At 40.3% G+C, this 22,882-nt stretch overlaps 1 protein-coding gene across 2 annotated transcripts in view; it reads left to right on the top strand.

The window, feature by feature from the left end:
* Nucleotides 1-22,882, top strand: part of SRD5A2 (steroid 5 alpha-reductase 2) — a 140,530-nt gene that overhangs the window by 78,492 nt on the left and 39,156 nt on the right. Inside the window, exon 1 of one of the 2 annotated variants that reach the window (NM_000348.4) lies at nucleotides 3,580-3,898. The exons of the other annotated variant lie outside the window; for it this stretch is intronic. Within the exon in view, the coding sequence (NP_000339.2) occupies nucleotides 3,618-3,898 (281 nt within the window). The 5' untranslated portion in view covers nucleotides 3,580-3,617. Of the gene's footprint in view, nucleotides 1-3,579; nucleotides 3,899-22,882 lie in introns of those variants that run through there. 2 annotated transcript variants of the gene reach the window in all.

Genomic DNA, 22,882 nt, shown 5'->3' with positions numbered 1-22,882 from the left:
GTAAGGACAGTGTTATGGAGGACCATGTCCTTAACTTTTGAAGTTTGGCTCAACTCTAGTAGTTGTTGTCAAAAGTTGATGTAACATGCCTAGTAATTTTAGGAATGCTGGATATTGTAAAGGCTATATTCTTACTTGTCTGGATTTAATTGACTTCCTTTAAACAGTGTTGGACTGTGTTAGGTTACTTGTGAGTCATCTTGATCCTTTGGGGGATTGATTTTATGTTTTGTTAAGAAGATAGCTTTTATTCTACCTAATTCCAATACTCTGTAGATCATTTCTACTACTAAACCATGGCCTTCTGGGATCTCCCAGCTAGCTGTTTCCTGGAGATTATAAATGACTCTAACACATCTTTCATATGCAAACCAACTAATTCAGGGCTCATACGTTCCCCAACCACTTCCTTTATCAGGACTCTACACCCTGGGCCACTATTCTCCTGCCCTAATCAGCCAGGTCCAGGTAACAGAAAAGTAAAGACAGCCGCTGTACCCCAGAGCCTGCTAAAAGTATTCAAACGAGCTAATCCTAAGCCTGATTACCTTGTCATGCCCACTCTTTCCTGCAGAAACTACAGTAAAGGCTCTTGCCCACCTTGACCCCTCACTCCAGCTGCCTCCTAACACTGGTGCTTCTCCATGTGGTCTTGGGTGGTGTGCTGTGTCTTCTGTTTGTAGGGATCTGTCGATATAAACCTTTTCCTTCACGATAGTCATTTCTGTGTCTGCATATGTTACCACATTGATTAAAAAGAGTAAGTACTGTATGATTCCACTTACCCGAAATTCAAAAGCAGACAAAATTAACTTATGGTGTTAGAAGTCAGGGTAGTGGTGTTTTTTTTTTTTGCTTTTTTTTTGGTTTTTTTTTTGCTTTTTTTTTGTTTTTTTTTTTTTTCCTGGAAGGAGGATGTAAGGAGGCAGGAGCACAGATCCTGATATGCTGATAATCTGTATCTTGACCTAGGTGCAGCTTGCAAGAGGGTGTTCAGTTTGTGCAAATCAACCAAGCTGTATATTTATAATTGGGCACTTTCTTCTTGCATGTAATACAGACCAGTTGCATTATTGGTTCCAATTTTCTACCTCCCACTATATCCCTGCCCTTTACCATGTAACTTTACAAATAGTCTCTCACTTTGGCTCTAGAATCCACCATATGACTTGATTTGGCCAATACAATAAATAGGAAGTAAGGGTGTGCTTGTTCTTGGCCTGAGCCTGAAGAGGCCTTGTGTGTTTCTTCTACTCTCGTACTTTTGTTATTAACATTATATAGACATGGTGGAGCTAGCTCACTCATCCCAGGATGAGAGCCTCAGCTAAGTTTCTCCATCCAAACACAGCCTGGAGCTGGGCTCTAACTTGTTACACAGATGAATGAGTGAATATTGTTAAGATAAGTCAAGCCCAGCCCAGATTTCTGACCCACAGCCAACCCACAGATGCATAAGCTGAAGATGACTGGTTTTATCAAGCTAATTGTTATAATAGTGGAGAAAAGATCATGAGGACAAAAAGTGGGCAGAGTCGGAAGAAAAGAGAGGAAGAAATTGAGACAGAAGACATTTCATTTAAAAAAATATTCCATTGAGCTGGGTTTGAAATAGTGCACTGCCTGTTCTCCTAATGCTGTATGGTATCATGAAATCTATTGTTTACTGAGTCTATGAGCCAGCTTCCTAGGGAGGCTATGGCAATTGAGGACAGGGAAGAGGTAACACTCAGGAACATAGAAGGAGAATTTGGGTCCAAGTGGGTGGAGGGAAAAATAACTGGGTTTAGTTTTGGGTAGGGCTGGTTTTGAGGTCTCTGAAGGACATGTAAGTGGAGTTTTCCAGCAGGGAGAAAACGCAGAGCTAAAGCTCATATCTTTGCTGGCAATCTAGATTTGGGCATCTTCAACAAGCAGGTTGTAGCTGAGGAAGCTGGGACTGGACTTGTACTCTAAAGCCAGTGCAAAAAAAGCTTGAAACGGCTATGATGGCTAAGACCTGGCTTTTCCATGAAAAATGCTTCGGTCAGTATGAGTGATTCCAAAGTGGTGATCAATTAAAAACTGAAGTATGATTAGCATTAATTATAACCCAATGGGAATATGATAAACGACTCTTGGTCAGCAAGCAGAGGGTGCCCTGTAGTGCTAAAGCATCACCATATACCATGTGTGCCAAGAATCAGGAGACACCCCAAACGGGAGCAGATGAGGGGTTGTGTCTGTCATTGGACCAGCTGGCCTGATCCAGCAGAAGTGGATGGAGATACACTGAATGGGGCTCCTGGGAGGCGTGAGTTGAAGGGGAAGGAAGAGAAGAGACCTCCAAAGTAAGGGAAGAGTGAAAAATGAGAAGGACTGGGGTGGAGCCCCAAGTAGGGACCAGAGGAGAAAACAGGGATAAAGTAATCAAGGGAGATGGGACAGGAAGATGAAAGAATGAGGTAAACAGCAGGTGGGAAGAGGAGGTCAACCTAAAGGAGAAAGCCGGGTCGAAGAAAGAAGGAAGAGAAGAAAAGAAGGGTTGGGAAACAGAGGAGGAGGCAGCCAAGAAAGCCTGGAAGCTGAATCATAGAACGGAAGAGGTAGAAGACGGAGGGGCTGGAGGATAACATAAAGGTGGGAAACGGAAGAGAGAAAGAACCGCGTCTGCGTGTATGACGGCTAGACAGGAGTTCAGAGAACAGCGGGGTCGCCAGGCCACCACCTGATGGGCCACGGCTCATTGGCTCTAGGAGCTGGGAAAGGGCATCCCAGGAAAGAAGCCCTAGACTTTAGCCTGAGTCTGGGCCACTCTAGGGGACCGGGAGTGGGGTGGCGGGAGAGGACGCGCAGAATCTCGACTTCTGGCCCCAATCTGTGCATGATCACCCGAGCTCAGCGGACGCTCCTCTCTGACCCAGGCAGGCGGCTCAGGGACGCGTGCGGGGATGCAGAGAGAAACCGCTGAGGAATTAGGGCCGGGAGAGACTGGTACCTGCCGGGGGCGTGTGGTGGGGCAGAGCTGGCACTGATGCTGAGAGTGGCTAAGGAGCGCGGCGCCCCAGAGCAGAAGGGCTGGCAGACGCTCAGAGAGCCAGGATGGTTCAGGGTCCAAGGAAGGTCCTATGTTGGGTGGGAGCTGTGAGGGAGTGAAAGTGCATGAGGAACCGGAGGAGATGGAAAGACCTTGGCTTGGGTGTTCGAGGGTGGGACTGCGTGGTGACCGACGGCACAGAGGGTGTGTGTTGGGGCGGAAGAACCACCCCAGCTGAATCGTCCCCGTGGGGTTTTCTTCCCGTGTCTTAGTTCCAGAAGTATGCGCATCAGACGCTAATAGTTGAGGAACAAGTCATGGAAGGACAGCCTAAGCGGGAGGTGAATGTAAAGCCGTGGAGAGGGCGGGCGAACTAAGAAGGCCTTCGTTCTCCTCCGGCCACCGCGGCTGCATCCTTGAGAAAGGGGTATTGCTGCGAACCGCGCCAGGGCTGGACGCGGCGAGGTGGGAGGCAGGATGGAGGGGCGGGAGCCAAGGCCGAGGGGGCGGACACGGGTGGCGTCTGGCGCTCCATAAAGGGGTTGCGGGGGCCGCGCTCTCTTCTGGGAGGGCAGCGGCCACCGGCGAGGAACACGGCGCGATGCAGGTTCAGTGCCAGCAGAGCCCAGTGCTGGCAGGCAGCGCCACTTTGGTCGCCCTTGGGGCACTGGCCTTGTACGTCGCGAAGCCCTCCGGCTACGGGAAGCACACGGAGAGCCTGAAGCCGGCGGCTACCCGCCTGCCAGCCCGCGCCGCCTGGTTCCTGCAGGAGCTGCCTTCCTTCGCGGTGCCCGCGGGGATCCTCGCCCGGCAGCCCCTCTCCCTCTTCGGGCCACCTGGGACGGTACTTCTGGGCCTCTTCTGCCTACATTACTTCCACAGGTAGCGTTTTTCCCTTGCGGGCGCCCAGTGCAGCGCACTGCCCTGCTCCCGGCGTCCAGGAGCGCAGCGTGGAGCGCGCACCGAGGAACGCCAAGGAGGCAGCGTGGGGCGCTGTGAGGAACGCGGAGGCCAGCCTGCCTGGCGCACCTGGCGGGGGCCGGGGCCGGGGCTTGGACGCTAGAGAGTTGACAAGCGGCTGCGGCACAGACGCCGCCTTCACTCCCCCAGGACCTCATCCGCTCTCAGCAGCTCCAAATCCTCTGGCTGCTCGAGAGAAAGAGGTCCTGCGGGCGGGAGGCGACCTGGAAAGCTCAGGTTGGGGAGACCTATTGGACAGGACTGTTCCTTAACTGCGCGCAGGCGGCGGTTACCTGTGGCATATCGCGCCCCGCCCCGCTTCCCTTTCTTCCTTCACCTTTTCCTTGCAGGGTGGGGACAGATTAGTTCTGGGATCTTGGGAGAGTCTTACGCGTTTGGCATCTCCCGAGGGAAACTCAGCTCAGAGGTTCTCATTGATTTAGTCTTTGCAGGTCTAAGGAGGAAGGTGGGTAGAGCCCAAATCCAGACTTCACAGATGGGGAAGAGAATATAGTGAGATCCCACTGACTCAAGCGAGGGTCCCCGCTTCTTAGGCCCCTCCCAAAAGGGACCAAGCACACCACCAATTCATCTACCTTTCCAATTTCCCTGGGACTTGAAATGTGAGTGGGTAACTTACAGCTCAAATGTTCTTCTAGATTTAAAAAATCCGGGTTCAGGAGAACTTTGCTTTCTGCTCTGGGAAGGAAAGACAGGAAAGAGACCAAGGGATGTCAGGGTTCAGAGAAAGACTGTCCAGCCTCAGTAAAGTCTCACAGGGAAAGGGAAGAACGAACACATTGTTAAATTGCCTACCATGCCCAATCGTTTAGTATCTATGGTCTCACTTAACTCTGTTGTAACCTTTTGAGAGATATTTATTATGTCCACTTTACAAAGAAACTGAGGCTGAGTAAGGTTATGGGACTGAAAGAAGACAATACAGCTGGTGCCCGCTAAGATGCAAATCTGAGCTTGTGAATCTCTGAGGTTTAAGACCTTTTAGCCGTTTTAAGTAGGCAGATATTCTATGCAAGAAGAGAACAGAGCCCATAAACAGAGAAAAGTTATCAAACGAAATCAAAACCTTGAAGGTTTTGCCTTATTTTGAGTAGAAGATTCCTAGGGTCAAAAGATCAAGGAAGTTTGGATTAGAAATTAGGATAAAGAATGCCTCTGGCATAATCTGTCTCGTAAAGAGAAAGTGATGCCTCATTTCGAGAGAAGAAGGTGTCAGAGACGGATTTCAAACTGTCTTTCTTAATTTCCTCTTATCCTCTGAATCTTCTTTATTGGTCAAGATTTAATATTTATGCAATCTTAACTGAATTCTCACTCTTTTTAAAAGGCAAATGTTGTCAAGTAATAAGAACTAAACTGTATCCTTTCAACAAATATTTACTAAAAGCCTGCTGTGAACAAGATTCTTTATTTTACACAGATTTTATTTTACTCAGATTTAGATGGTTTAATTTGCACAGAAAGAAGGATGTTGGATACAGGAGATAAGAGATTAGTTTTTTATTTCACTGATTTTTGAACAGACATTTGACAGAAATGTGATTTTTGTCAACAATTATTTTTATCTTCAAATTAACTACTGTATGTTGGCAACATAAGCAATATTTTTATGAGGTCATTTCATCTTAATGATTAGTGTTTTGTGACAATCATATTAATGTAATCTTTAGGCTTGTTTTTGAAATCAAAAGGCACTTTGCACAATACATTATGACCGGTGCATTTAAAAAAAAACCCAAAGGAGTAATTATGCATAAAACAAATATCTACATATTGTCCTTCTTCAGAGGAAATTTTAAAATATTAGTAAAGGACTTGGAGATTCATTCTGCCTGAGGGAAAATTGCCCACTGGAAGTACAACTCTTGAGCTACTTGTTCCTGAGGCATCGGGATCTGATGTTTGTCTTTCCTCTTTTTTGAATTCTTTCTTTGAAGCCACTGGAGTGTGTGATCTGTTATTATTTGAGTGCTTACAGGGTGTTACACTCTGTGTGCCAAACACTCTGAGTAAATAATTTACTCATCCTCATACCAACCCATTTAGGTAGGCACGCCCATTTTGCAGGTGGAAAACTGGAGCAAGAAAAGGTTAAATAACTTCCTTGCCCAAGGTCACACAATAACGAGGAATCAGAGTTCAAACCCAGGCAGTAGACTCCAGATCTCAGGCTCTTCAGGTATGATAATAAACTGTTGTATACTTGTTGGATAAATGCGACCTCATTCTTGCTTTTTAAAAACTATATTTATTCTTAAAATTATTATGTAAAAATTTTTTAAATTATAAAAACATTTTTTCCTAATGAAAAATGGAAAAATCCCAAAAGTAGAAAATACTCATAATTACATCTAAGTATATTAAATATTAATGTTTTAGAGAATTTCTATCAAATCTTTTTCCTTAGTAGATTTTCACACATGCTTGTTATGTTGAATATATGGTTTTTTAGTTCTGTTTAATTACCTAACATTTTATAGTATTTTCCAACATTATCACAGATTTCTTAATATCTGCTTATTTCATCTACTGTAAAAATAATAATTTACCTATATATTCATTTATAGTTGGACATTTAATTTGTCTTGGGGTGAGGCTAGGTTCATTGAAGCTGTGATGTACATTTTTTGCATCTAAATTCTTTTCAAAGGTTAGATCTATTTTCTTAGGATTTCCAGAAGTGGTTCAAAGGTTATGAACATTCTTTAGGGTCTTGATATAATCATACATATCTGTTTCGAGGCTTAAGGAGTCATTTGGCTTGATACTGAGGGTGCATTAAGGAACAAGCATCAGGCTGTCTTGGCTTTATCTCGTGCTGTGTGTTGCTAAGACAGAGAATAAGACGGAGAGACAGGGAGAAAGGATGGCTCAGGTTTGGCTCAGACTCTTTTGCAAAATGTCCATTGGGGACTGTTCAAAGCAGCAATATGTCCCATCAAATAGAAGTTAAAACTCATTGTACTTTTCTCAATACAAGGATGGCACACAAGAATGTAGATTCCACAGGGTCAAAGGTTTTTGTCTCACTTTTATGGCTGTATCCCCATTGTATACAAAGAGCTGGTACATAGTTGGTACTCACTAGAATTTGTTGAATGCATGAATGAACTCTACTTACAACAACCGTACAGACAGAATTGTAGGAGAGCTAGCAATTACTTGGGAATCATAATTGCTGAGATTGCATAGTTAGGTCAATTCAGATAACTTTCCTCTCTTCAGAATCTATTGTTGTGGCTGTTTGGATTCTTTAGCCACATGGAAATGACTGCTGCCTAAGCACATTGCCTAATCCCACTGCCAAAGGCATTTGAAGTCAAGAGTTATCTCACCTCTTTTTTTTTTTTTTTTTTTTAATGTTTTTTTTTTTATTATACTCTAAGTTTTAGGGTACATGTGCACATTGTGCAGGTTAGTTACATATGTATACATGTGCCATGCTGGTGCGCTGCACCCACTAACGTGTCATCTAGCATTAGGTATATCTCCCAATGCTATAAGAAAAACCAACACAGAGACCACCACAGTTCCCAGAGTGTGATATTCCCCTTCCTGTGTCCATGTGATCTCATTGTTCAATTCCCACCTATGAGTGAGAATATGCGGTGTTTGGTTTTTTGTTCTTGCGATAGTTTACTGAGAATGATGGTTTCCAATTTCATCCATGTCCCTACAAAGGACATGAACTCATCATTTTTTATGGCTGCATAGTATTCCATGGTGTATATGTGCCACATTTTCTTAATCCAGTCTATCATTGTTGGACATTTGGGTTGGTTCCAAGTCTTTGCTATTGTGAATAGTGCCACAATAAACATATGTGTGCATGTGTCTTTATAGCAGCATGATTTATAGTCCTTTGGGTATATACCCAGTATTGGGATGGCTGGGTCAAATGGTATTTCTAGTTCTAGATCCCTGAGGAATCGCCACACTGACTTCCACAATGGTTGAACTAGTTTACAGTCCCACCAACAGTGTAAAAGTGTTCCTATTTCTCCACATCCTCTCCAGCACCTGTTATTTCCTGACTTTTTAATGATTGCCATTCTAACTGGTGTGAGATGATATCTCATAGTGGTTTTGATTTGCATTTCTCTGATGGCCAGTGATGATGAGCATTTCTTCATGTGTTTTTTGGCTGCATAAATGTCTTCTTTTGAGAAGTGTCTGTTCATGTCCTTCGCCCACTTTTTGATGGGGTTGTTTGTTTTTTTCTTGTAAATTTGTTTGAGTTCATTGTAGATTCTGGATATTAGCCCTTTGTCAGATGAGTAGGTTGCGAAAATTTTCTCCCATTTTGTAGGTTGCCTGTTCACTCTGATGGTAGTTTCTTTTGCTGTGCAGAAGCTCTTTAGTTTAATTAGATCCCATTTGTCAATTTTGGCTTTTGTTGCCATTGCTTTTCGTGTTTTGGACATGAAGTCCTTGCCCACGCCTATGTCCTGAATGGTAATGCCTAGGTTTTCTTCTAGGGTTTTTATGGTTTTAGGTCTAACGTTTAAATCTTTAATCCATCCATCTCACCTCTTGTTGACTGTGATTACAGCTGTGGAATGACCCCTTGTCTAAACTCTCTGATTGGTCTTCACTTTCCCAAGAAGTCTTGGTGTTCCATACAGTGGTCAGTCACATCACTTATGCATGTGGTGGCTGATGTCTTTTTCAAGACTTTGATGGGACCTTGATAACTGAATGAACAAGACAAAGAAACATTTTTTTTTCCAGAGAAGAAGTGACTACATTGTGAAAAGGTTTTGGGCAATGTAATTTCCATGATATACATCTAGAAGCAGAGTATAATGCACACATTAGAGTCTGTTTGAATTCGGAGAGATATTCCTTGAGGTTTAGATGCTGAAACATTTTTTTGATTAGCCAAATAAAATGATGGCTTCAATAAGGTGCTTTTTGCTTTATTAGTCAGTTCATTCCCCAGCGGAATTTCTCCTCATCCTTCAAGATTCAGGTCAGGCATCCTTTCCTCCAAGAAGCCTTGTCTGAGTCTTTTCTTTTCTCTAAATCCAGTTGTGATGCTGTTCTTTGGGCTTTCATAATAGGCAGTGTGGCTTTCGATGAGGCATTTCACACACTGGATCATAATTATCTGTTCTAAGGAAACGTAGTTCTCATCTGCCCAGCCTCTTCATTTTACAGAAGCAAAGCACAAAAGGTTGGGTCAGTTAGGGGGAAATCAAAGAGTTGGAACTTGAGTCTTCTCATGAGCCCCTGCCAATGCTTCTCTTATTTCACGAGAGGTGCAGATGTCTCAACTATTCAGAAGTAATCAGACCTTGCTAAGGAAACTACTCATCTGCTGAGAATCAGAATGAGAATTAATGGCTACTTTGGAAACAATAGACAAATCTCTCCTCTTAGAGATTAAGAAAAAAAAAGCCCAAGCAAGAAAAGCAACATTCCTGTGATCACTTAATCATGTGTTAAGGATGTTCCTGAATCATAATTTAAATAAATTAAGATTAATTGAAGGATTTTTTTAGAATGAGAGTCAGCAAACTTTTTCTGTAAAAAGCCAGGTCATGATCTCTATTGCAGCAACTCACCCCTACTGTTATAGCGGGAAAGCAGCTACAGACATTATGTAAACAGATGAATGTGGTTGTATTCCAATAAAGCTTTATTTACAAAAACAAGCAGTGGGCCATATTTGGCCTATGGGCCATAGTTTACCAATCCCTTCTAAAGAAAACTATGAATGGCGTGGCTTTACATTCAGTGCCCTGGTAATTCTATAATAAAATTTGGTTAAATTCTATAGCAAAGCAGCGGGCATATCTTAGAAAATTTCTGCTACATGTAAGTGGGGACTTGGCAGTAAATATTGTTTTCTGAGAATTCTTGGGTTCTAAGTTTTTATTTGAACTTTTATGGGAAAATAGTAGGAGTCTTGGAGTTTTCATTCTAAATGGAATGACATCATAAGCACATCTGAAAAATATATAGCTATGTTTGCCAAAAATATAAACCAGCTTTGGAGATCGTGACCACTTCACTTTTACCACACTGAAGAAAGGACCAACTTTTTGTCCATTTAAAATCTAATTTAATGTCACTTAAAAAGAACAAACAAAATAAAGAATTACGATGGGAATTCAAGGATTCAGACTGGCAAAGTGACATGTACCAAGTTACATGGCAAGAAAGGGCAGAGTGGAGCTTGAAGCCTGGTCTCCTGATCTTTATCAGAGTTCTATAGGCTCAGAACTATGCTAGGTCTCATGGGAGTCATAGGAGTACAATACCTAGTGCTTGCCCTCTAGGAAGAAGGCAGGAAAGAACCTTCATTGTGTGCTTCTCACTCTTTCTGGTGTGAAACTTGGGTGGCAGCAACGTCAGTCTGACAATATCAGGCAGGTGGGAAAATGTAAACTGAGGGGGAAAGAAGCCTGGTTAGCACGGGCCCCCGCCAGGCCACTGAACATTCATCTGAGAGGGCCCTAGTGCCTGTCTATGTTTGATTGTGCATGGGACAGGGGGCAGATAGATAGGTGGATAGGTGTTGAGGGGGCCTCAAAATGGCACCCTTCTTCTCCATTCAAGTTCAGAACTAACTGAGAGATCCAGGAATTAGGTAACTAGAGACATATTACCACCTTTTATTACTGGTAAAGCTGGTTTGGGGGAATGTGGCTTAGATTTTTGGATTATATGGGCCTTATAACACAGTACCTCAGAAATAATTAGCTATGATCATGGCTGGGCAACCACAGGCCTCTCACAGTGGTACCTGTTCTGAAAAGACAGCAGAAGGGCTGAGCTGTACGCATCCTTTGGCAGGTCCTGCTCCCAGATTGACCCATCAGGTAATTCACATTTCCTTGCCTGAGGAGGAATGGGTGAGGGACAGTGGAAGGGCTTGCAGTGATGCTCTAATGAAGGGCCCTCAGCCAGCTGTAGGGGGAGCATAAATATTTTTTGTTACTAGATGGAATACAAACGTTGTCTACTTATTGAATTTTGCCACAGCCTGGCAACTTGTTTCTGCAACTTGGGGTACTTCCCGTTCTGCTGTTGACTCCCTGCCATGTATGGCAATGGGGACATCAAAGTCTGGACTCAAGTTGTTTTAAAAGTTTCTGTGCTCAACCCAGGAGCCTTTAACGAGACTCAGCTCAACATAGGAGCTCTAAATTTTAAAAACCCCTGAACTAGGGCCAACAGTGCAATTTGTCTTCCATTTGGTTATAGAAGGGAGAGAAGGGAAACCAATATTTATTGCGCTCTGGGTGTTCCAGGCATTATATTATGTTCTTTGCATTGGCTATCTCATTTTGTCCTTGAGGCAATCCCTGTTATTAGTGCTATTTTACAAGTGATTGCAGTGCAGAGCATTGATGGAGTGAGTGGGAGTGAAGATGGGAGACTTGACCTGGTCCTTGAAGAATGGCCTGTTCCCAGATTTCTGGGTGGGGACATGATGTCTGTTGGGAAAAGGGGCCCATTTGGTGATCTGTGACTTAAATTTGCCTTATACTTTGTATACTCAGTCTTGGAGTATCTCTCTACTTTTAGATTCCAAACATCTTCTGTAACTATGCCATATTATCCAGTCCTACTACCCAAGTCTTAAATTAGGCTCTGGGCCTCTTTCAATTTCTTTTTTTTAATATTTGCTCCATATTGTTAAGGCTGATCCTAGAAGTTACTGTGAAGAAAACAGGGTAATTTGGTTTTGATATTTTTTCTTTCTAACCACGAAACATCCCAAGATCTTTTTTCATGTATAGACTCTGGTTCTCTCTTGCCTCTCTGCCTGCCCTCTTGTATCAGCAGTACATGATCTTACTTCTATCTTTTAAAACTTAACTCTGTGTCTCATGCTGTCAGTCAATGCCCTTTACTTGCCAAAAGTTACTCATGTGATAAACAAATCTAAGTTCTAGTGTATTGGGTTGTTTGTTTTCTTATTATTGAGTTTTAAAAGTTGTTTATGTATTCTGGATAGAAGTATTTTGCCAGGTATAAACTTAGCAAATATTTTCTCTCAGTTTGTGACTTGTCTCTTTTATTCTCTTAACTGTCTTTTGTTTTAAAAAAATTATTTTTAGGTTCAAGTTTACATATGCAGTTCTGTTATACAGGTAAACTACATGTCTCAGGGGTTTGGTGTACAGATTATTTCATCACCCCAGTAATAAGCATACTACCCGATAGGTATTTTTTCAATCATCACCCTCCTTCCATCCTCCACCCTCAAGTAGACCCCAGTGCTGTTGTTCTCTTAGTATCCATATGTACTTGGTGTTTAGCTCCCATTTATAAGTGAGGATATGCAGTTGGTTTTCAGTTTCTATGTTAGTTAGCTGAGGATAATGGCCTGCAAAGGACATGATCTCATTATTTTTCATGGCTGCATAATATTCCATGGTGTATATATGCCACATTTTCTTTATCCAGTCCACCATTGATGGATATTTAGGTTGAGTTCATGTCTTGACTGTTGTGAATACGTGCTGCAATGAGCATGCACATGCATGTGTCTTTATGGTAGAACAATATATATTCCTTTGGGGATATACCCAATAATGGGATTGCTGAGTTCAATGGTGATTCTGTTTTAAATTATTTGAGAAATTCCTCCTAGCAGTGTATAGGCGTTCCCTTTTCTCCATAACCTTGCCAGCATTTATTATTTTTGACTTTTTAATAGTAGCTATTCTGATTGATGTGAGATGATATTTTATGGTGGTTTTGATTTGCATTTCTCTAATGATTAGTGATGCCGAGCATTTTTTCATATCCTTGTTGGCCACATATATCTTGTTTTGAAAAGTATCTGTTGATGTCCTTTGCCCACTTTTAATTGAATTGTTTGGTTTTTGCTTGTAAATTAGTTTAAATTCCTTATAGATGCTGGATATTAGACCTTTGTCAGATGCACAGTTTGCAGATATTTTTTCCCATTCTGTAAGTTGCATGTTTACTCTCTTGATAGTTTTTTTTCCTGTGCAGAAGCTCTTTAGTTTAATTAGGTCCTATTTGTCAATTTTTGGTTACGTTGCAATTGCTTTTGGTGTCTTTGTCATGAGGTCTTTGCCAGATCCTATGTCCAGAATGGCATTTTCTAGGTTTTCTTCTAGGGTGTTTATGGTTTTAGGTTTTGCATTTAAGTCTTTAATTCATCTTGAGTTGATTTTTGTATGTGGTGTAAGGTAGTGGTCCAGTTCCAATTTTCTGCATATGGCTAGTCAGTTATCCCAGCTCCATTTTGAATAGGGAGTCCTTTCCCTGTTACTTGCTTTTGTCAACTGTATTAAATATCAGATGGTTGTAGGTATGCAGCATTGTTTCTGGGCACTCTATCCTGTTCCATTGGTCTATATGTCTGTTTTTGTACCAGTGCCACGCTGTTTTGGTTACTGTAGCCTTGTAGTGTAGTTTGAAGTCAGGTAATGTGGTGCCTCCAGCTTTGTTCTTTTTTCTTAGGATTGCCTGGTTATCCCAGCTCTTTTTTGATTCCATATGAATTTTAAAATAGTTTTTTTCTAATTCTGTGAAGAATGTCATCAGTAGTTTGATAGGAATAGCATTTAATCTGTAAATCGCTTTGGCAGTATGGCCATTTTAACAATATTGATTCTTTCTATCCATGAGCATGGAATGTTTTTCTGTTTGTGTCATCTCTGATTTCTTTCAGCAGTGTTTTGTCATTCTCATTGTAGAGATCTTTTACCTCTCTGGTTAGTTGTATTCCTAGGTATTTTATTCTCTTTGCTGCAATCATGAATGGGATTGCATTCTTGATTTGGCTGTCAGTTTGGATGTTGTTGGTGTATAGGAATGCTAGTAATTTTTGTACATTGATTTTGTATCCTGAAACTTTACTGAAGTTGTTTATCAGACCAAGAAGCTTTTGGGAAGAGACTATGGGGTGTTCCAGGTATAGAATCACATCATCTGCAAACAGGAATAGTTTAACCTCTTCTCTTCCTATTTGTATGCCTTTTATTTCTTTCTCTTACCTGATTGCTCTGGCCAGGATTTCCAGTACTATGTTGAAAAGGAGTGGTGAGAGAGGGTATCCTTATCTTGTTCTAGTTTTCAAGGGGAATGCTTCCAGCTTTTGCCTATTCAGTATGATGTTAGCTGTGGGTTTGTCATTGATGGCTCTTGTTATTTTGAATTATGTTTCTTTAATGCCTCATTTGTTGAGGGTTTTTAACATGATGAGGTGTTTAGTTGTATTGAAAGCCTTTTCTGAATCTATTAAGATAATCATGTAGTTTTTGTTTTTAGTTCTGCTTATGTAAATCACATTTACTGATTTGCATATGTTGACTCAACCTTGTATCCCAGGGATAAAGCCTGCTTGATCCTGGTGGATTAGCTTTTTGATGTCCTACCAGATTAAGTTTGCCAGTGTTTTGTTAGGGATTTTTGCCCTGATGTTCATCAGGGATATTGGCCTGAAGTTTTCTTTTTCTGTTGTGTCTCTGTGAGGTTTTGGTATGAGGATGATTCTGGCCTCATAGAATGAGTTGGGGAGGAGTCCCTCTTCCTCAATTTTTTGGAGTAGTTTAAGTAGGAGTGGTACCAGCTCTTCTTTACACATCTGGTGTAATTTGTCTTAACTGTCTTTTGAAAAACAGAAATGTTTAATTTTGATGAAGTCTAATTTTTCCATTTTTCTTTGGCTTTTGATGTGATATCTAAAAAATTTTTGCCTAATCTAAGGTCACAGTGATTTTCTCTTATATTTCCTTCTACAAGATTTGTAGTTTTAGGTTTTAATTTCAGGTCTATGACACATTTTGAATTAATTTTTAAAGTAGGTTTCCAAGTTTGAATCAAAGTTTTTTTGTTGTGTTTTTTTTTTTTTGTTTTTTGTTTTTTGCATGTGGACAGTCAATTGTTTTAGTACCATTTGTTGAAAATACTACTTTTTGTCCAATGAACTGCCTTTGCACCTTAACTTTAAAAATAGGAGAATTATATGAACAGATACTTTGCCAAAGAAAACGTATGATTGGCAAACAAGAACATGAAAGGATGCTCATTATTAGTGATTAGGGAAATGCAAATTAAACCACAATGGGGTATCACTATGTGTCTGATAGAATGGCTCAAATAAAAAATACTGACCATACCAAGTGTTTGTGAGGATGTGGAAGAGCTGGAACTCTCATACCTTTGATGGGAATTTAAATGACAACCACTTTGGAAAATGGTTTGATAGTTTCTTAAAAAGTGAAACATATACCTATCATATAATGTAGCCATTGCATTTCTGGTTATTTTTCTAAGAAAAATAAAAGCATGTGTTCATACAAATGGTGGTAGCAGCAGCCTGACTGGAGTGGCTGCAGTGTTAGAGGCATGGCTGGGGCTGCGCACTCCACAGAGCTGGCACGGCCAGGAACAGGCATGAGCCCCATCCCCTACCAAGTTGGTGGGGCAGAAGGCCAGTGCTCCTTGGCGCAGCTGCAGCCACCCAGCCATGGCTCTGGACCCGGGCTTCCCTGTGCTCTCAGGGGCCTGGGAAGCGCCCCTGCCCCTGAAGGCTTGGAAGTACCTGCTCCCGCTCCTTGGCCTCTTCCCACTCTAGGCACCTGCTCTGGGGTGGAACAAAGTTGTGGCTGAGCCAAGGTGCTGTTGCTCGGCCTGGCATGTGCAAGCTCAGGGCGGCATTGACACACCAGCCCCCTGCCGCCTTGGCCCCCTCCAGACTTTGGGTGCTGATGAGCATGGGAGGAGGGGCAAGTGGGGGCTGAGGGTGGCTTAGTGCAGGCTTGCAAGCACCCCTTGGCACTAACAGCCTGGGCACCATGGATGGCATGTGGATGGTGGCAGGAGGCAGACAGGCTCCTGGGTGGAAAGGGGCAGGTCTCGGGTGAAACCCCACCTTCAAGCCAGGGATGGCCTGAAGCCTGGGTGCTGGGCTGTCAATTCTGGATGGAGTCAGTGGCCCAGAGTGACAATTTATGGTGCTTTTTCTGAACCTGCTCATGGTGGCCCATGGACCAATCAGCACGCCCTTCCTTCTGAGGCTATAAAAACTCTGGACTCATCCAGACTTGGGCAGACATCAGGACTACCAGCTGTGGGAAGGAACTGCCCACTTTGGGTCTCCCGAGAGCCTCTCTGTCACTCACTGAAGCTCCTCTCTGCCTTGCTCATCCTCCAGTTGTTTGCGTACCTCATTGTTCCCGGACACGGGACAAGAAATCAGGACCTGCTGAATGCGGGGACTGAAAGAGCTGTAACACAAACAGGTCTGAAACATGCCCCCCTGCTTGTCACATTGCAGGCAACAAGAAGGAGAGAAGAGCTGGGACCCTTCGGGGAGCCCAGAACTAGGGGAGCCCTGAGCCAGGGCTATGACACCCTCTTTGGGGCTTTGTGGTTCCTGGCATCTCCAAGCTTCCAGGCACCACCATGTTCCCTTCATCCAGATGTGGGTGCCCACAGTGGAAGCCACTTGGGGTACATCTGGTCCAACCATAGCCTCACATGGAGCCGGCACTTATGCTGTCATCTGGAGCTGCTTGCCTTGCCCAGCAACCAGTGTGCCTGGCTGTGCACAGTGGCTGGACCCTGCGCTCACTCACACACACACCCCTCATCATTCTGTGCCTGGCTCACCCTTGGCAGGTGTGGGATCCAGGCCTGTAGCATGAGCCAAGTGCAGCCTGCCAGGCTGAGTGGACAGATTGAGCTCAGTGGGCATGAGCAATACTCAGGCAGAAGGCACTACTGGCCACAGAGGTTTCCAGCTGGTGAAGTGACACCCCAAGGATCTCGTGACACAAAGACTTGTATACAAATGTTTGTAGTAGCTTTATTTGTACAAGCCAAAAACTAGGAGTACATGCTTTATGATTATGTTTATATAAAATTCTATGAAATTTAAACTAATCTATGGTGACACAAAGTACATCAGTGGTTTCCTGAGGACACAAGAGGGACAAGAAGGTAGAACTACAAAGGGTATGAAGAACCTTTTGTTGTGATGGATGTGTTCATTATTTTTATGTCACATGGCTTCATGTGACATGAAATATATCTACCAAACTGCACTGGTAGATATATATATATATATACACACACACACACACACACACACCAAATTGCACCCTTTAAATAGGTTCAGTTGACTGAATAGTAATTTACTTCAATAAAAATAAGAAAACTAGGTAGGCCTGTGAAAAAATTATATGTATATGTGGCCCTGTGTCACTGAGAATTGTTCAAAGTTTCTGTGAAGTTCATCTGGAAATGTTCAACAAGTGCTGATAAGCTGTTTCACTTTTTTGAGGTGTGAGTAGAGGAGGGCCAGGAATTCTACTCAAGGGAAATAATCCAAAAGGAAGAAATCAGTCTACACAAAGTTATAGTGTTACTATTCACAACTGTGAAACACTGGAAGTTACCTAAATGCTCTACAATTGGGGATTGATTGTAATCAATATGATTAAATTACCATATATATTTCAAAAATATTAGTTGCATGGACTATATCTGTGTATGGAAATAAATATATGGAGCCATTTAGTTAAAAAGTAGCACATAAAGAGTACACTCTGATTTAATCCATGTTGACATGTACAAATGAAAATTGACCATGATTGGAATATAAAGTGATGTAAATAGCTGATAATTTAGGTTTGTATTTTTTCCTTTTAGTATTATTAAAGTATTTAATTATTTAACTCCTATTATACCTTATAGAAGAAATAATACTGTATTACAAAATTTTAAGATGTATTTTACAAACTGACCATGCAATTAAATCTCAGCAGAGATATGACACCCCATAAGTAGTTACTGTTCTGAGGGATTTTAAAAGTCACACTTCGTGTGTGAGATCTCCCCCACTGAGCTGCTATGACACAACCCACTTATGAAATTGTCATCTTTCTATTTCTCCTTTGTATCAAGATGTTGATGATCCCTTAACATGCAATCATGTTACCTGGCAAAGTAGCACTTGGCAAAGTCCAAACTATTATCCTTTTAATATTTTGAATCTGAGAGGATCTCATCTCTTTCATCCTTAATCATGGTAATTTATATTTTCCACTTTTTTTCCAGATCTTTTTGACTAGAGCTTTAGAAATTGTATTGATCATCTCAGAACTAGATTTTTATTTCATTGAGTTTCACTATTGATTTTGTTTTACATTTAATTGTTTTCTGTTTTGATCTTTATTATGTTTTTTCTTATGCTTACTTTGAATTTTATTTGCTCTCCTTTTTCTATTTTTATTAAGGTGGAAGCCAAGGTTATAAATGGAGACTTTCTCTTTCTTCTAATATGAGCATTTATTGCTTTGAATTTCATCCTACATATTGTTTTGTGGCACCTCACAAATTCCGACATGTTGTTACCATTTTAATTTATTTCATGTATTTTAATTTCTCCTTTGATTTATTCTCATATCTATGGGTTATTTAGAAGGGTGTTATTTAGTTTCCAAATGTTTAGGAATTTTCCAGACATGTTCTGTATTCATTTCTAATTTAATTCCACTGTGGATAGAGAGCATACTTTGTATGACATACATCCTTTTAAACTTACTGAATTTAAAACTTGTTTTATGGCCCAGAATTGGGTCTATCAATCGTAATAATTGTTCTGTGTAAACATGAAAAGAATGTGTATACTGCCAAGAAGAGGAGTGTTCTAAAATTGTCCATAGGTTATTTTGATTGTTAGTGTGCTTCAAATTTCTATATCCTGATGATTTTCTCTCTACCTATTCTACCAGTTATTGAGAGAAGAGTATTGAGATATCTGATCAAAATTGTAGACTTGCTTTTTTTTCTTACAGCTCTATCAGTTTTTGCTTCATGTATTTTGAAGGTCTATTATTACATGCATAGAGACAGAACTGGTATGTCCTCTTGATGAATTGATGCTTTTATCGTGATGAAACAATCTTCTTTATTCTTGGTAATATCTTGCTTTGAAATCTACTTTTGTCTTATATTAACTTAGCCACTACAGATTTCTTTTTACTAGGGTTAACATGGTATATGTATCTACCATGTTTATTCCAACATTTTACTTTTAATCTGTTTCTGTCTTTAGATTTAATGTGTGTGTCTCAAAGGTGGCATACTGTTCAATTTTTCTTTCCCCCTGCCCCTGCCATTCTGACAATCTCTGATTTTTAACTGGGATATTAGAATGTTTATATTTAATGAGATTATTTATACAGTTTGAATTATGTCTATCATCTTGCTATTTGTTTCCATTTGTGTCTCTGTTATTTGTTCCTATTTCCTATTTATATTCCATCTTTTGGATTTAGTATTATTTTATTTCAATTTATATTGTCAGTTTATTCATTATAACTCTTTTGTTAATTTGCTTAAAGGTTTATTGCATGTATCTTAAATTTATCAGTCTTCCTTAAGGTGATATTATACCACTTCAAGTATGGTATAAAAATCTGAAATAATGTACTTCCATTTCTTCTCTCTTGCCCTTATGTTATTGTTGTTGTTTTACTTACATATGTGCTATAAAAGCCTCAACTTATTACTATTATTTTTGTTTAAATCGTCAATTATCTTTTAAACAGTTTTAAATAAGATAATAAAAAAGTTATATATTTGCTTATGTGGTTGCCATATTTGATGCTTTTCATTTTTGAGGGTTGATTTATATTTCTATGTGGTATCATTTTTTCCTTTTACCTGAAATCAGAATTTATATTTCTGAAAGTGTTTTTATTTCTTGTTTTCGAAGATAGAAAATTCTAGGATATAGCAATCCAGATTGACAGCTGCTTTCTTTCATTACTTTAAAGATGTTTCACTGTCGTCTTGTTTGCATTATTTCCAACAAGAAATCTGTTCTTGCCCTTATCCTTGTCCTCTGTACTTAACGTATCTTCTTATCTTTGCCTACTTTTAATATTTTCATGTTATCACTGGATTTGAGATGTTGGGTTACTATATTCCTTGGTGTATTTATATTTCTTATTCTGGGCTTCCTTAAACTTGAATCCATGAGCTTGAGTCTTTCATCAAAATTGGACGATTTTCATACACTATTCTTCATTCCCTCCCTACTTCTCCTTTCTTTTGCTGAGGAAAATATCTATGAGACCTACATGTATATTAAACTGTCCTACAACTCACTGATGCTCTTTTCATTTTTGTGGATTCTTTTTTTTTTCTGTGTGCTTCTTTTGGGTAATTTCTATTGCTATTCTTCAAGTTCATAATCTTTTCTTCTACAATGTCTTATCTGTTGCTAATCCCATCTCTGGTATTTTTATCTCAGGGATTGTAGTTTCCATCTCTAGAATTTTGGATTTCGGTCTTTTTTTCTCTCTTCCATGTCCCTACTTAATTTTGTGAACACATGGAATGCAGTTATAACAGCTGTTTTAATATCATTGCTAACCTAATATCTGTGTCATTTCGGTGTCAGTTTTGACTGATTAATTATTTTTCCTATAATAAGCAGTGTTTTCCTCCCTTTTTGCATGCCTGGTAATCTTTGATTGGAGGGTCAGAAAATTGTACCTCATTGGGTGTTGGATATTTTTGTGTTTCTATAAATATTCTTGAGCTTTGTTCTGGGATGAAGTTAAGTTACTTGGAAACAATTTGATCATTTCAGGCTTTGATCTGATTTGTTCAGTGGTTCCAGAAGAGTGTTAATGCTAGGGCTAATTAATAATTTCCTCTGAGGTAAAGCCTTTTTGAGTATTCTACCCAATGTCTTATATGAGCTTTTCTATCTGGCTTATGGGTACAGGCTCTATTTGTGGCCATGTGTGATCACTGGATACTGTTCCCTTTAATTCTTTTGGGTGATTCTTTCCTCACACAAATGCATGAATTAACACTCTGCTAATACTTGAGGAAAATTCTCTGCAGGTCTCCGTGTGTCTCTGTCCTTTTCAGCACTCTGTCTTGAAAATTCTAGATGTCTTGATTTCTTGAAATCTCAATTTTGTTTTCTCAACTCAGGAAGTCTTTTAGCTTCTCCCTGGGATCCCCTTCCCTGTACCTCAGCCTGGAAGTTTTCTCAAACCAGGAAGCTGGGTCAGTTATGAGGTGGTGTGAGTCATTTTTTTCTTGCCACTCACTGTTTTTCATTGCCTAATATCCAGTGTTTTGTAAATAATTATTTCATATAACTTACCTTTTTTTTTTCTAGCCTGGAGGATAAATCCAATTCCTGTTATTCCTCCTTGACTGGAAGCAGAAGTGTCTCCAATGGGTTTTAGTATTTATCTTTGCTAATTGGATAATCTGCAATACTGGTTGATTTGTTGGTTTTAGTGACCTCTACTTGTACTCAATGTCATGTTTTTTTCCCCAAACTTTCCATCTTCAGGCTTGACGTGTAATGCTTTGGGACGTATTTTACTTAGAAGACTAAGTGGGATAGCAGAATGATGACTTCCTTTACATGAGTCCTGTGGCTCCATGTAGCTGCAGCTGGGAAGGTGGCTGTAGGACTATAGAGTAGGAGATAAAGAGTGGGAGATACCAACAGATGGTTATGAATGATTGGTTTGAAACTTTCACATGGAAAATTATGTTGCAGAAACCTCAGATTGTGCTTTTGTTCTTTTTTTGTTTGGTCCAAATGAACAATGGAATGGAGGTAGATGTAGGAGGGAGATATGCTGAGGTAGATCAATCTTTGAATGTTGCCTTTGATCAGGGCTACTGAATCCCTGGACATTTATTTATTTGTTTTAAAAATTTAATTCAGGGGGTACATGTGCAGGTTTGTTACATGGGTATATTGTGTGATGCTGAGGTTTGAGCTTCTAATGATCCCATCACGCAAGTGGTGAACATAGTACCCAATAGGTAGTTTTTCAACCCTTGCCCCTCTCCCTCCTTTTCCCTTTTGGAATCCCTGGTGTGTATTGTTCCCATCTTTGTATCAGGACAATATTTAAATGTAGGTGGAAACTTTTTAAAAGTTCTCAAATTTATGGCAATATCTAGGCCTCATTGCTGCAAAACTGTACAGAGCTGTTTGCTTCCAAATAACATCAGAAGACTTGGGATTGTTAATGGGTACATTAATATGATTAGATTGAATGAATAAGTTCTAGTATTTGATACAGACTGACTACAGTCAATAATAATTTATTACTCATTTAAAGATAACTAAAATAGTATAATTGGATTGTTTGTAACAGTAAGGATCAATATTTGAGGTGGTGGATACCCCATTTTACCCTAATGTGATTATTACACATTGCATCCTTGTATCAAAATATCTCATGTACCACATAAACATATACACTATATACCCACAAATATTAAACATAAAAATTTTTTAAAAAGGAAAAAAAAGACCTGTAAACCTGGGCTGCACTAAGAAGCTAAACAACTGAACTTAGAAAACCACAATTTTCTTTTTGCAAACATTGAGAAATAAAGGAGACAAAATTATAGCTCAGAGAAATGGCATGTATTTATCCAACAGTGAAAGTGCCTGTTATGTCCTTAGCTGCTCTTCATAGGCTTGCTGAGCTTTTTACTTCAAGCTGAAAACCATCCCATGTCAATATTTGTATTTTCTTGATTTTGTAATAATCAGTTAGCATGAGTGGCTGAGCAACTGTTGTTTCATGATGCCAAAATCCACCTCAAGTTGATCAATTTATAGAAAACGGTAAACTAGTTATTCAAATAAGTTGATTTAGTTACTCAGGCCATGAAGTTGATCTGATTCTCTTTGATTTTGATCTTCTGGGGTATTAAAAATTTTTTTAAAATGGAGCCAGTGGTCAGTAGCATGCCTATGGGAGGTTTCACTCCAATGATCATTATTCTTTCTATCATTCTGGGGAATCCTCAAAGTTTTTTAAAACCTTGGTAATTCATTAGATGTTTGGATTGAACATCTATTTTAATGTAGAGGCAGGAAGAAAG

The sequence above is a fragment of the Homo sapiens genome, chromosome 2 (assembly GCF_000001405.40).
Source record: "Homo sapiens chromosome 2, GRCh38.p14 Primary Assembly".
NCBI lineage: Eukaryota > Metazoa > Chordata > Mammalia > Primates > Hominidae > Homo > Homo sapiens.
Note: the sequence above shows the minus strand (reverse complement) of the source record. Positions and strands in the feature narration are given on the sequence as shown.